Genomic DNA, 14,638 nt, shown 5'->3' with positions numbered 1-14,638 from the left:
ATATGGGAAAAGATTTTTCTTCAGATTTATAGTAACTGTTTTTAAACACTGATTGGAAGGCGTTTTTGTTGATTTTTAAAAATAATTTGTTATATCTAATATTGATATTTACATTTAATTATCACAGCATCTACTTCCAAGGGTTCTTCCAAATTCTTCTACCTTCTTTTGGATAGAAAGAAAGAAAATATTTTAGTACAGCTGTGCAATGTGCTTTGGTTTTAAACTAAGTGTTATTACAAGAGTCAAAAAGTTAAAATTTTATGAAGTTTATAAAGAAAGAAAGTTACAGTACATTAAGATTAATATATAATTGAAGAAAGAAATTTCTTTATAAATTTAGTGTAGCCAAAGTTTGCAATATTTATAAAGTCTACAAAGTGTACATTAATGCCCTGGACCTTCACATTCACTTACCACTCAATCACTCAATGACTCACTAGAGTAACTTCTAGGACTGCAAGCTTTCTTTACTCATCGTAAGTACCCTACACAAGTGTAATATGTTAAAAGACTTTAATACTGTATTTTTACTGTAACTTTTTAATGTCTGTACATAATTGCACATAATTGTACACAATTTCTTACCATTGAGTTAAATTGGCCATAAAATTCAGTACAGTAACATGCTGTACAGTTTTATAGCCTAGGAACAATAGGCTACACCATATAGGCTGGGTGTGTACTAGGTTGTACCATCTACTTTGTGTAAGTACATGCTGTGATGTTCTGCAATGACTAAATCATATAATGACACATTTCTCAGAGCATATTCCTGTCATTAAATGACATATACTTATTTTACATCTTGTCTGGCAATTTTGGCTATTCTTTTCAGAGTAAAATCTCTGAGTTATGATTACTAAATAACCAGGTGATAACACATTGTTTTTCCAGATGAAGAGGAGCTTGGTAGAAGAGTATATTAATTAACATTTGCCACAAAATCTCGGTGACTTTCACAGCAATAATCCTCAAATGTTTTGGTCATAGAACCACTTTTTCCCTTAAAAACTAGATCCCAAAGAGCTTTTATTTCTGTAGGAGATATATAAATATATATATTCCTTATTAGAAAATATATTGAATTCAGTTTTAAAATATTCTTATACATAACATAAACTCATTACATGTTAAAATCAATATAATGTGTTTTATTAAAATAACTATATTGTTTAGAATATTAATGATAAGAGTAGCATCATTTTTCATTTTTGTAAATCTCTGCATTGCCTCACTTATTAGAAAATAGCTAGATTTTCATACCTACTTCTACATTCGGTCTGTTGCAATATGTTATTTGGTTGAACTATACGAAGAAATTCTGATCTCACACAGACATGGAATGGGACCTTACAGACCCCTGAAGGGTCTCAGAGACATGTAATTCTATTCCTTTCATTGCTTTCATTTTCACTTTTCTTTTTTAACCAGTTTACACTGATTACCCTTGGACTTTGTTTTCTTTTTTCCTTTAATGCCTTACATATTTTATTTCATTTTCCTTTCCTTTTGTATTGTTCTTTACCTTATTGTCTTTTTAATTACTCCTTCCCTTGCTGACCTCTAGCTCCCTTCTCCACTTTTCCTTCCTCCCCTTGAAACCCTTTCTACCCTGTTCTCTTCAAGTGATATACAACACTGAAGTGTCTTTCTAAACACAGAATTATCTTGAGAGATATTGGGAAGATATGGTATTTTTTGTATCTCCCTAAATTTTTTTTCTGTAAAGAGCACTATCCAGTAATACAGACCAAACCAAAAAAAAAAAAAAAAAAAAAAAGATGGTGAAGGGGATAATGTTTCATTATCCACTTTCCATTAAACTGGGGCTGGATGTAGAAAAGAGTTGAAAGAAAAGAGATTTAGGATGTATTCTGGAAGGAGATGTCAATCCAAATATCTCATCTCATGATTCTTCTTCCAAAATACATCCTAAATCTTTTTTTTATCAATCAACTCCTCTTTTCTACATCTAATGCCAGTTTAATGAATGATTTCCCCTTTTTTGTGGTATTACAGCAGCCTACTAATTGGTTGTCCTACTCTTCACTTGCCCGATCACACTACCACCACCACATTAATTCTCATTCAGTGGCCAATGTGATTGTCATAGATGCTCTTGGTGATCCACTTTGAGGTCCTTTTCCAGCTGGGGCACTCATGGCCCAGCTGTTGTGTCAGATGATAATAACTCACAGCTGACCATGGTCTTCTCTGGAGTATTGACTTACAGCAAATGCAAGTTCCAATGAAACTTTTTGATAAATTCCAACTTCTTCATTATTACCTACAAAATACTCCCTTAACAGGTTCCTGCCCACCAGCTGACTTTGTTTCCTGTCAGCAAGCTAGAAAAAGTCCTTACCTGGGGCATTTGCTCTTCAGTCCAGAATGCTCTTCCCCTAATATTTGCAGAGCCAGTTGGTCATGTTCAGGTTTCAGCTCCAATCTAAACTTCTAGTAGTAGGGACTTTTTCACCACTCTGTCCAAATGTACCTTCTACCTTCCCTTTCTCAGTAACTCTGTTAAGTTACTACAGATGTTTTATATTTTTCAGATAATTAATTACCATCAAAAATTATATATGTATTTGTTTATTTTTATTACATCTCCTTACCCATATTAGACTTTATATTAGTACAAATAAACTTTTGTTGGCTTAATCTTTTGAGATTATATTTTTTACATCTGCAGGCATGTATTATCTAGACTGAAAATAGAACATCAATAGTATGTATCCTTTTCTTCATAAAGTTCATAATCTAGTAAAAGAGAAAGTAAAGATATACAAGTGTATTAGCTGTCTATTGCTGCAAAGCCAATTACTGCAAACTCAATAGCACAAAACAATAAACATTTATTATCTCACAGTGTCTGAGGATCAGGAATCTAGGTGTCTTAGCTGGGTAGTTCTGTCTTGGGATCACTCACAAAGTTTCAGCCACATACTGGCCGGAGCTATAGTTATTATCTCAAGGTTCAATGGGGAGAAGTGAATATGAATATCATTCATTTCCAAGATAACTGATATTGGTGGGTTTCAGTTCCTCACGATGTGGGCCTCTCCAAAGGTTGCCTGAGCAGCAACAATATTGGCTTCCCCAGAGTGAGTAATTCAGGGAAGAGAGGAAGAAAAAGAGAGTGAGAAGAGCAAGAAAGAAATAAAATTCTGGAAGGAAACCTCAGATTTTTATAACCTAATCTTGCAAGTGAAATCTTATTACTTCTGCCATATGCTATTCAATAGAAAAGAATAACTAAGTCTAGTCCTCACTCAAAAGGAGATGAATTAAGCTGTGTATTTTGCAATGAGGAGTATCAAAGAATTTAGAGATGTATCTTTTAAATGACTACAATAAGTTAGCAAGGTTACATTGAAAAATTCCATTAATATAGGCAGAGCATTCTAAGAATTTATAAATATATAAGAACAAGTTAAATTAAAGTGATAAGTAAAGGTTTAAATGAAAAAATGGTTACTGATGCCTTTTGATACATGAATATTTGATAAAAATCACTTTAGGTAGAAGAAACAAAGAAACTGCAGAATTTGATTGAGGAATAGAAAATAGTTTGATCAGGGCAAAATTTTATGTGAGAGAGGAGGATTGGTGATCTGTTGCTGAAGGAAGAAAGCCACCTATTCCTGTTCTTCTTTGATTTACAGATGGCCAGAAAATAATAAAAGAAAATAAAAAAATCTTTGCAAATGCTTATGGCTTAATCAGCATAGCCCTGCTCTTAGAGAAAGTGAAGCAGCAGCAGCTGTGTGAGATGTGATTCAGGATTCCATCCAGTTGCCTGCTTTCCAGCATCCTTACAACTTGCATAGTGCTAGACGTGCATGTATCCTTCCCTCCAGCAAGAAAATGTCTCAATTTTTCAATCGGAGCTTGCACTCCATCTGAGATTGCACCCTATTAAATTTCAATGAATAACTCATTTTATTGACTAATACATCTCAGAAGCATGATAAATACTTTTATGGCCCCTTTTATTGTGCAAGTGCTTTATCAATGTGAATATTCGGATTTGCTTTTTCAACTGAGAGTATGCTAATACATAAAACCAGGCAAATACGTTACTCAGATAGACAGCTAAATCCTGGGTTGGGGTAGAAGTAGAGTAAAGGAATTAGCTAATAATTTTCAAACTGATCGATTAAGTCAAAAGCTCAGACTATCCACCAGATTGAAGCTTTGTTTAAACCTTATTAATTACAAACTTGGAGGACAAAAGAAGACTGACCACAAAAGTTTAGAATTCTCGAAGTGGGCTTAAATTCTTTCATTTATCTTGGGAGGGAGCAAAGATATTACTTTTATCAAAGTTTATACAAGAGTAACCCTAATGGTGAAGTTAAGCTCCTGAGACATTTTATAGTACATAAATCTCCAATATGTGACATGTTTTCTGATGCCTCACCAAAGGCAAACATATTATAAGATGCAACTGACACACTACTTCCAAACAGAAGCCAGGGAACTGCCAACACTTGTAATGGCCAAACATAAAAACGATTAGGTCATCATATCAGATTGTTTGCCCGTTTGTGTAATACTGTTGGAAAATATGTTCTGACAGTCTCAAAAACAATATAATTTTTTTGAGAATTGAGGATGACATAACCTTTTTATGATTTTACAAACGTTATAAAATATAAGATCTATCTAGAGGGTAATTTCACCTTGATTTTCAATTAACCAAACAGGGTAAATACCATTAGTCACAATAACTTTTACAACTTCAGTCATTATCCATCAAACTACTTTGTGGATCATTTCTGTTTTTATAGTTGGAATAAATAAGCATGGCATAAAACACATCAAGTCTTTTCGTCCTGCAGTACCTAAACTCATCTATCTCCTATGCACATTTCAAGCTATGAAGAGTTTTTTGTATATTCTACATCCTTTAAAAAAATGGTGGGCAAATGTTTAACACAGTAAACTAAACAGTGTGGAAATGGAGAAAATTTGTGCTTATATTTAATAAAAATTAAGGGAAGTGTTTATTTAGAAAATATATGCTTTTAGTATTAATCAAGAATGTGCTGCAGCACACTATCAATTTCTTTCTTCTTCTTTTTTTTTTTTTTTTTTTTTCAGACGAAGTTTCACTCTCGTCACACAGGCTGGAGTGCAATGGCATGATCTCCACTCACTGCAACCTCTGACTCCTGGGTTCAAGTGATTCTCCTACCTCAGCCTACCAAGTAGTTGGGATTACAGGTATGTGCAACCACGCCCAGCTAATTTTTTTTTATTTTATTTTATTTTGTATTTTTAGTAGAGACGGAATTTCAGCATGTTGGCCAGGCTGCTCTTGAACTCCTGACTTCATGTGACTGGCCTTCTTCAGCCTCCCAAAGTGCTAGGATTACAGGCCTGAGCCACCATAACCAGCCCACACTATCAATTTCTTTTTCTTTTTGTTTTTTTAAGACGGAGTTTCACTCTGTCACCCATGCTGGAGTGCAATGGCGTGATCTCGGCTCACTGAAACCTCCGCCTCCCAGGTTCCAGCGACTCTCCTGCCTCAGTCTCCCAGGTAGCTGAGATTACAGGGACCCACCACCACGCCCAGCTAATTTTTGTAGTTTTTAGTAGAGACGGGGTTTCACCATGTTGGACAGGCTGGTCTCAAACTCCTAAACACAGGTAATCCTCCCGCCTCAGCCAACCAAAGTGCTGGGATTACAGGCGTAAGCCACCCCACCTGACCCACACTACCAATTTCTAATGCTAATTTGGCACAGTCAGTTTCTAAAGGTTACTTACCAATCCTTAATAAGAAATACACACATTCTAAGGAGACAGCATTTTCTTACACTTGTAAGATAAATTACTGTTAGGTTTATTTGTGTTCCTTGTCCTCACTCACTCACACGTTTGAGCCAATAGCTCTCATCATTAACTTCCGGGAAGGAATAATTAACCCAACGCTTTAAAGCCATCACAGGGGTCTCAATATCCGGTATTTCTCTTCCCAGTCTCACCCTGTGTTTTTTCTCCCTGTTTTGTTTTCCTTTTTTAACAAATTACCCACCATTTTTAACAGCACTGCTTCTGAAATCAGTCAACTCTACTTAAATGGTTCAAGCAATTGGATGCAAAAGTACAGTTTAAAATTTCACAGGCTCTATTTTAAAGAGGGAAAGCAAACTTCCTCAGGAAGAACAATATCCAATAAGGAGTGTGGAAAGTTGCATAAGACAGTCAGTGGTGGAAGGCTTAAAATATAGTTCCCTAAACATCTTTCATATAGACTAGCTCTTCTTTTCTCAAAATTGCTCATTTCTCAAATACTCCATCTTTCTCATAATTCCTTTAAAATGTAGTGTGCATGTATATATATATATATATATATATATATATATATATATAGTGTCAGTATCTGAAATGAAGAAATTACGTTGTGATATCTTACCTTTAATTTTCTATTATTGTTTCGACACATAGAGTATATATCTTATCTCATTTAGAAATACACACAACCCTATGAAAGATCTTTCGGTAGCCCCATCTTAATACTGAGGAAGGTGAAGTTACAGACATTTTTTAAGCCATCTCAAGCCTTTTAGGCATTCAGCCCCACAATGGAACTCAGCCCCCTGTCTCTTTATCTTAAGTTCAGCATTCCTAAGGTGATACCTGCTGGAATCCAAGTATTTCTCCATAATCTGAAAAGCCAAGTTTTCTGCTCTCATTTCAAATATATTTTTTTTTTTGCGACTAGTGCTGTGGACTGAATTGGGTCCCCCCAAGACTCGACTCATATGTTGAAGTCCTAATGCACAATGTGATGGTATTTGGAGACGGAGACAATGAGAGCTAATTAGGGCTACATGTGGTTATGAGGGTGGGGCCCTCATGATGGAATTGTTGTTATAAGAAGAAGAAGTGCAAAAATTGCTTTCTCTCCAACATATTATGACACAGGATGAAGATGGCTGTCTACAAGCCAGAAAGAAGACTTCTACCAGAAATTGTATTGAGTGGCACCTTGAATTTAGACTTTCCAGTTTCCAAATTTGAGAAATAAATGTCTGCTCTAAAGTCACCAGTCTATGATTTTTTTAATAGAAGCCCAAGCTAATATAAACAGTTATACAATTCTCATCTTCATAAATTCATTAACTTAGAAATATAACCTTTTTGGGCCCCATATTTTTCTATTGCTTAAATTTTTAAACAATTTTATTAGACTAATTAATGCTAATGATGTTTATCTGTCTCTCACTTTGATTCCCTTTTATTGATGGAATATTCACTTTTTCTTGTCTTCTTCATGGCTTCTCAGAAGGGCTTAATAATGACTGATTTAATCAGAATGTTTGCAGAAGCAAGTAAATTACGTTGGGTCACTAGGTAGTCAGTTTAAATGAAATTCATAGATACAGAAGAATCACAAAAAATAAAATTAGTTAATATACTAATTTAGTTAGGAAAGTTATTCCAATTCCAGAAACTTCAGTAGAAGTCACCATCCAGAAAACTCACTATCCTTTGCAGGAGATCAAATAAATGGTGTTTTAGTTAAAAAGCAAAGGAAGGTTTAGAACTATGGATAAGTTTCAAATAAAAACTAAATACATTATGTTATATTCTAATTTCTCACTATCATTATTAATATTCAATCATTGTCTTATAATCTGTTTGAATTATTATCTCTTTTTAAGAAGAACATGCTCATATTCATAAAACAATAGGCACCTGTCACAGGTTGGTTTACCTGAAGCAAACACTGATGTGATATTTGGGATTCATGATAGGATTAAACATATCAGATAAAATGTTTAGAATATTTTAATGCTAAAATATTCAAAGGATCACTTAAACTGAGTATAGCCATTGGAAAATACAAAATAATTGTTTTTCCTTCTTTCTTTTTAATAGATGGAAATCTTTAATCTGAAACTCTTCTTTGAGAGGAGTTTAATTAGTAAAATTCTAGTCCCCTCTCTCTTAGCTCATTCTGTCCATGGTAGGTGGAGTGATTTAAGAAATTTATAAATTTGAGAAAGAATAGCTGGACATACCTGGCTTCACTCTGGCCTTCTTATTCCTCTGGGAAGCTGAACAAAGAGAATATAAGTTCTACCCTGCTCTTCCCGGGCAGGCTTCTATGTTTCTGTTTGTGGACAAAGGGTAAACACCAGTGTAATTTTAGTGCTTGCTACAAATAAAAGCATAAAAGCCACATACTAAACTGGCCTCTCTTCAAAATAAAAGAGATATTTGATATTCACCTTTGCTCTTGGTGTAATTTCTCACTATTTCATTATCTAAACATGAAAGTGGGTGTTCTGAGAGTTTTCCTCAGGAACTCCCAATAGCTCTAAAAAATACACAGAACAAAATCTTAATTTGTCTCGTAACAGTGAGTTCAAATTACTTTTCATATGAGTAAAAGAAAAAGGAAAATTAACAAGTAAATTAGAAGAGAATAATTCTGCTTTCACTTCAAGGTAATCAAAATTCTTAGTATCACTATCTGATAGTAACACAACACAATAAATAATGTAAAAAACTGAAGTTTTTATCTACTATGCCAAATATGATTCCTCTGGTTTCTTTTTGTTTGTTTAAGAAAGTATTCTAAAAAGTTAAATTGACCAAATGGGCTACTTATACTGGCATTGTATAATCAGAGTCAGAAATGTTGAATAAACAAATCAATAAAATGGAGCTGTATATTAAAAACAACAAGCAGGGTTTGTCCTAAATGTTTGCCCCATAGCCAGGTTTACTTTGAGCCAGCATGTAAAAGATTTTGTGATTAGGCCCCAAAGCACAAAAATACCAATTAATTATGATGATTAGATATGTCTTCATTAGTAGTCTATAAATAAATCATGCAAAGCATTATGCAGTCAGCTATCCTGGAAAAATATTCTTCTAAAGGGCTGTGAAAACAGCTTAATTAATTATAAATGCTTTGAAACTTAGCACATTATATTTTGAAATGTTAAAGCATACATACATACACATGTTATATATGTTTGGAGGTATTTGTCAATCTGTTTCAGTGTTTCTTAATGCTACTGAGCACTAAAATGCTTCCCAGAATCAAGATGAAAGTGTGTTAAAAATCTGTATTTATTGTTAAAAGTAAAAATGTTATTTAGAACACTTATATTTCCAATTCCTCTCATGTTTTCAGATGACAGAGTGTTTTCCTTTGATATTTAACTTCTATGCTTCCAGAAATACTTTGTAAATGTTCTCCTCTCTTCCCTTCCCATTCTCTCCCTGCCCTCAGAATATATTCCTCATTTATTCAAAAAGATTTCTTCCTGAAAACGTTCCATTATTAAAAAATCTCAATTATGCTTATAATTAACCCGTTTTTTGAAGCTGTATTCCATTCACTCCATCAGATCTTCTGCCCTCCACTGCTCCCTGGTAGACCCACAGGACAACGATCTCTATGAACTGCATCAAGTGTTTCCCTTGCCCTGCAGTTTCTAGTGGAGTTTGGCTAATGGATATCCCTGGCAGGAGATCAGAGGTAGGTAGGAAAATTTATTTTCCTCGCTTCTTTTCTGCAGGTTGATTGTATACCTCTGCCAAAGGTCACAGCTCTTGACGGGTGATGCTTGCTACATGAATCGCTCTACGGGTTTTAGTCCTTTCAGATATAAGGGTGATTACAGGTCTCTCCACTATAACTGGCCCTGGGGTATAGAAATCTCTTTTGATTTCTCTATACCCTGTTCCAGGTTTGTAGGTCATCATTTTATTAATTTCATCTCAAATTATCCAATTTGAGGACATAATCTGTTATATGCAATACCCTGACATGATTAATTTTATAAATAAACAATACAAAAATAGAGTAAAACATGAACATCCTCATTACATCTTTTGATTTTGAATACTGAAAATACAATTCAAATTGGCCTAAGCACCTGAATTGTTCTAGTTCTCTGAGTCAATATATCACATGCAGAAGGATGCACTTTTCTGCATACTTGTGGTTTAAATGGGCCAGAACAGTTCAGGGTAACATCAAGCATGCTTTTGCATATATTACTCTAGAATGATTGTGTATCAGTTAGGGTCCATTCAGAAGACAAAATCAAGTCAGTTATTTTAACAGAAATGGTTTTATATAAACAATTGTTAATTAGGTACTAAAGACTTAAAATGGCAAAAAGAAAAATAATTGCATTGTTATGGAAGGAGTTTCTATAGGCTGCAGCTACCCTACTATGACCGGGTATGCAAACACAGTCTTGGAGGAAGATCTGTGCAGAGCTGAAACTCAGACCTCAGATAAAGTGTGCTGCTTCACCCATGCCTGTGTCTCTTTGCTTGAGGGAAATATCTTATGGGACTAGGACCCAGGCCTCTGAAGAGGAATGCTGATTGACAGCATCAGGGGCTGCTATTTTTGCAGGAGCACATTGAGAGTGATTCTGCAAATGTTGAAGAACTGCAAAGTCAATTAAACATTCTACAGAGACAAACTGCTGCTACCAGCAGGAAGAGGTGAGATGAGGCTAAGGTGATGCTCAATGACAGGAAGCAAATGGGAAGCCAGCACCAAACAAACAAAATGGAGCAAGTCTCTTTTCCCTCTTCCATCCTTACAGCTCCCTCTAGTGCTTTCTACTAGCCAAGGCTAAGAGGAAGGCAGCTGGCAAAGCAGACATGAAGCTTGCAGATTTCCAGTCCAGCTTCACAGCGCAGAGTGTAGAAGAAACAGCGTGAGCTGAGAGGCAATAACTTAGTAACTATGTAAGGTAACAACCAGAGGTCAACTATACTCATTGATTAGAAACACAGTTGCAGGATTCCTACTTTATCAAACCTTATATGAGGCTAGATTTTCTTAACCACAGGAAAGTTTTAGTCCTTTCGACTTTCTACTTGGGAAGTTAATATGACAAAGAAAACAATTATAACAAAATATGAGAAGTGCCATGACAGGAGCTATAATATGAAGCTTTTAGAATGGCATTTCAATTAGCAATGTAGGGTCCAGGGAGAGCATTTGATTGGAGGTAATGTTGAAGTTGGATTTGAATCCTGAAAAGATTCAATAGACAGGAGCCTACTGAGTAGATACTAGAATTAACTCAAAAGCTTGATAACAATATTTGGGAAAACAGGAAGGTCAAACATCAGAAAATACAGGTAATTTCCACTGGAGGAATTTCCTGGTTAGAACACAAGAACCACTCACTCTGTTGTTCCTGAATACCACTGAACCAGACCTACTGTCACTGGGCACAGCTGCCGTGAACACAGCGATGGTCAATAATTTTTCACAGGCCTTTTTAAATTTTGTATTACTTCCTGAAAATTCAAAGTGGGCCATCCAGTAGGTTGAACCTAGTCAGTTGCCCTGCTCTAGGTGCCAGGGGAAAGAAAGAAGAATATATGACCTTTTCAGTCTGACCTTAAATTCTGGCTTCCTCCAAGATTTACATAGTAAGGATTTTTTTTTTTTTTTTTTCTTTGACAGAGTCTTGCTCTGTCACCCAGACTGGAGTGGAATGGAGTAGCTGGGACTACAGATGCATGCTACCATGCCCGGCTAATTTTTGTATTTTTAGTAGAGACAGGGTTTCACCATGTTAGTCAGGATCTTCTCAAACTCCTGACCTCATGATCCATCCGCCTCGGCCTCCCAAAGTACTGGAATTACAGGCGTGAGCCACCACGCCCAGCCCATAGTATGGATTTTAATCCCAAATAAGGTAAACATGTGCATGATAGGTTCACAACATTCCCACTAGCAATTATCTCTTTGGCAACCTAGAATTCATATAAAATCTTTTGCCCATTCTAATCAAAAAAACTTCCTGTCTTGTACTATGAAACTTCCTCTCATAGCAAAAATCCAGTTTACCGGTGTCCCAAAAGGAGACAGTTTTAACCCTCTTCAGTTATAGCATCTGGCTCCAACAGTAGAATCTCTGGATAATCTCCATATTGAACCGAGATCTCCTAGATCCAGTCTTGATCTTGCCATAGTAGTGACTGAAAGAAAGGAAAAGTAGATTTATGTAAATCTTTCATTCTTAGGGGTTCTGAACTCCTGCCAGTTTTATATGTACAGCTCAGTCTTTTACAAATAAATATGGTCACATAAAAATTCCCCATGGGACCAACTGGGGACCCACCCTTCCTGATGTATTATGTATCATCAATTATCTTTCCTCTTGACTTTCAATATCAATTACCCTATACAACACACTAACCCACCTGATTGTTTGCTGACTCAGGTCATGAGATTCTGAATTGGCCAGCTGGCAATGTTTACTCCCATGCAACCATTACTGAATACCCTGGTGTAACATTTCTCCCTTGAATATTACTAGTTTCTAAACCAGTATTCCCATTATTTCAGAGATAGGAATAAAGATATTGTGAATAACTAATTAGGTTTAATTGGAAGATGTACTAATTTCAATTCTATTGTGTACTGACTGAAATAAATAGCAATATATATGTTTCAAATGTTTCAAATCATAGGTAGTATCCTATGACATGATACCTAACTTATTCTTCAATAAAGTATATAAGACTAAAGTAACCTAAGGGCATTACCCCATTTTCCTGCTTTGTTCATAGGAAATTGAGTTCCTTGCTTGGAAGAAATTATGAGAAATATAATGACATTGAATTAAGCATTCAGTTGTGTAAGGTATAACGATGCTGACTTGAGGCACTACATGAATCCTTCACGACAAAAGCAGTAAAACAATCATCAACTGACTTCAAACAAACACTTGTCCAAACAGTTATCCTATAGTATTGTAGGTTTGTATTTACTACTTTTGGTAAAATATCTTGGTACACTGCTAAGGGGAAACCTGTGTTGTTGTGCTTGTGAGTAGCCACTATCTTTTCAATCATGGCCACTTTGTTCATTAAATTCTAAAGTTGCTATAGAAGGAAGATGACCTACATTGGGAGATTAGGTTATCTTGTCCATCTAAATGTATGAGCTGTTTGGCTAGAAATGTCCTTTGCATTAATATGTAGCATGAATATTCTTTATGTTCTGAGCCCATTTTAAAAAATTCTTCCATGATTCTCTTCCCCAATGCCCCACTCCCACCAAAAAAAAAAAATCTGTCATTAGTCCCCCACGTCAGTTCCTTTGAGATCCCTTATCTAGTTTCTAGGCAAACTGGCAGCCATTTGCCGTAAATTCTGGTAAGTTGATATTTAAGGCAATTTGAAACTATTATCAAAGCACAAGAGAAAACTGGACTTCTCGTGGCATTATTTTGCCCATGAGCTCCACAAGTCATCCAGTAGGTTTCAGAGAGAAAATCCTCCCAATTGGCAAAATAGATTAATGTGTTTAATGCTTGTGTCTAAGCATCTCCAAAAGATCTTAGCAGTTCCATTTTCCCAGGGCATCCTTACCTTGGTAAGTCGCGATGGGTGTCTTTAAGAAGAGGTACAAGGAATTTTCATAGTGTATTCTTCAGTGTCAATGGGCTATCAATGGGAGTTAGTGTTCAGGGTGCCAAAATATCTTTCCCTACCAATTCTCTAATTTTTACGTAAGAGACGAGGAAAAGCTCTGAATTCAACTGATAGTCTAATTTTACTATCTCTAATACCACATTTTGTTTTTTGCCAGCTCAGTCCCTGCAGCAACAAAAGATAAGAGATTCTTTTATCTTGATCCTAGAAACTCCATGTATTTCAGTCTGTGCTATGAGCCTAGAATTCAAGGATTTTAACTTGTCATTCTGTTTCTTTAAGCTGTCCATTGATGTTCAAAACAGCTGCCCCTTCTCTAAGTCCATAAATTCCTCACGTACACCCCACTATTCTGTGGTGGGGGCAATTCAATTCCCAAAGCATCACTGCAATGATGCCAGGTGACTACAGACAACAATTTGATTAACTTTTTCACTATTACTGAATTCCTGTCTTGGCATTTAAGCAAGATTTTGACTGGTTTCTGCCCCAGCTATGCCAGATGAACAATTAATAGTTTCCACATTTCCTTGAAAGTATCTGATGCACCCCATTCCCAGGTACCAATTTCTCTCTCAGTTGGAAATTTTGGATGTGAGCAGAAAAAGCAGTTCTAGCTAAAAGGATAATTGTTGAAAGAATGTTGGGTAGCTCACAGAATTAGCTGGCATGATGGGGTACCTGCTAAGAAAATGGGCAGAAAACAACAGAAGCTTTGTAGAGGGAACCACGGCCAAGAGTATGATGAAGAAATACTCTTGTTTGGATGCCCCAGAGGTACTACCAGTGCCATCAACAAGATCTGTTGCTGGATACTACCACTGCTACATACAGCAGAAAATAATAAATGGTGGATCCAAAAGACACAAATCCAAACATAGATCATTATTATGCATGAGAAAGAATGCAAAACAAACAGGAGAGAAACAGAAGTTCATCTCTTGGTGATATACAGAAATATAACAGAGGAAATCATTATTTGAGATTTAAATGGGGAGGGGTTGTGAGAGGCATTTGGGTAATGTGCCATCATCACCCGATACCTTCCATTATGGCCAATAATCAGCTGGATGGCTTTGAAAATATCACTTTTTCTTTACTATAACTGGTTCAATGTTTCTACAATAAAGACAATAATATCTCTACCAAATGATACACCTTGAGGAAAAATTGGTATATA

At 35.7% G+C, this 14,638-nt stretch overlaps 1 long non-coding RNA gene across 3 annotated transcripts in view; it reads right to left on the bottom strand.

Moving 5' to 3' along the window:
• Nucleotides 1–14,638, bottom strand: part of TSG1 (tumor suppressor TSG1) — a 72,604-nt gene that overhangs the window by 44,461 nt on the left and 13,505 nt on the right. For 2 of the 3 annotated variants that reach the window (NR_152794.1, NR_015362.2), the window contains 2 exons: nucleotides 11,867–11,997; nucleotides 8,046–8,137 (listed from right to left, as the gene is read on the bottom strand). This is a non-coding gene — a long non-coding RNA (tumor suppressor TSG1). Of the gene's footprint in view, nucleotides 1–8,045; nucleotides 8,138–11,866; nucleotides 11,998–13,395; nucleotides 13,858–14,638 lie in introns of those variants that run through there. The other variant, NR_152795.1, reaches the window with a different exon arrangement.

This window comes from Homo sapiens, chromosome 6, assembly GCF_000001405.40.
Source record: "Homo sapiens chromosome 6, GRCh38.p14 Primary Assembly".
Classification (NCBI taxonomy): domain Eukaryota; kingdom Metazoa; phylum Chordata; class Mammalia; order Primates; family Hominidae; genus Homo; species Homo sapiens.
The sequence above is the reverse complement of the archived record's forward strand: the minus strand, read 5'-3'. Positions and strand labels throughout refer to the sequence as shown.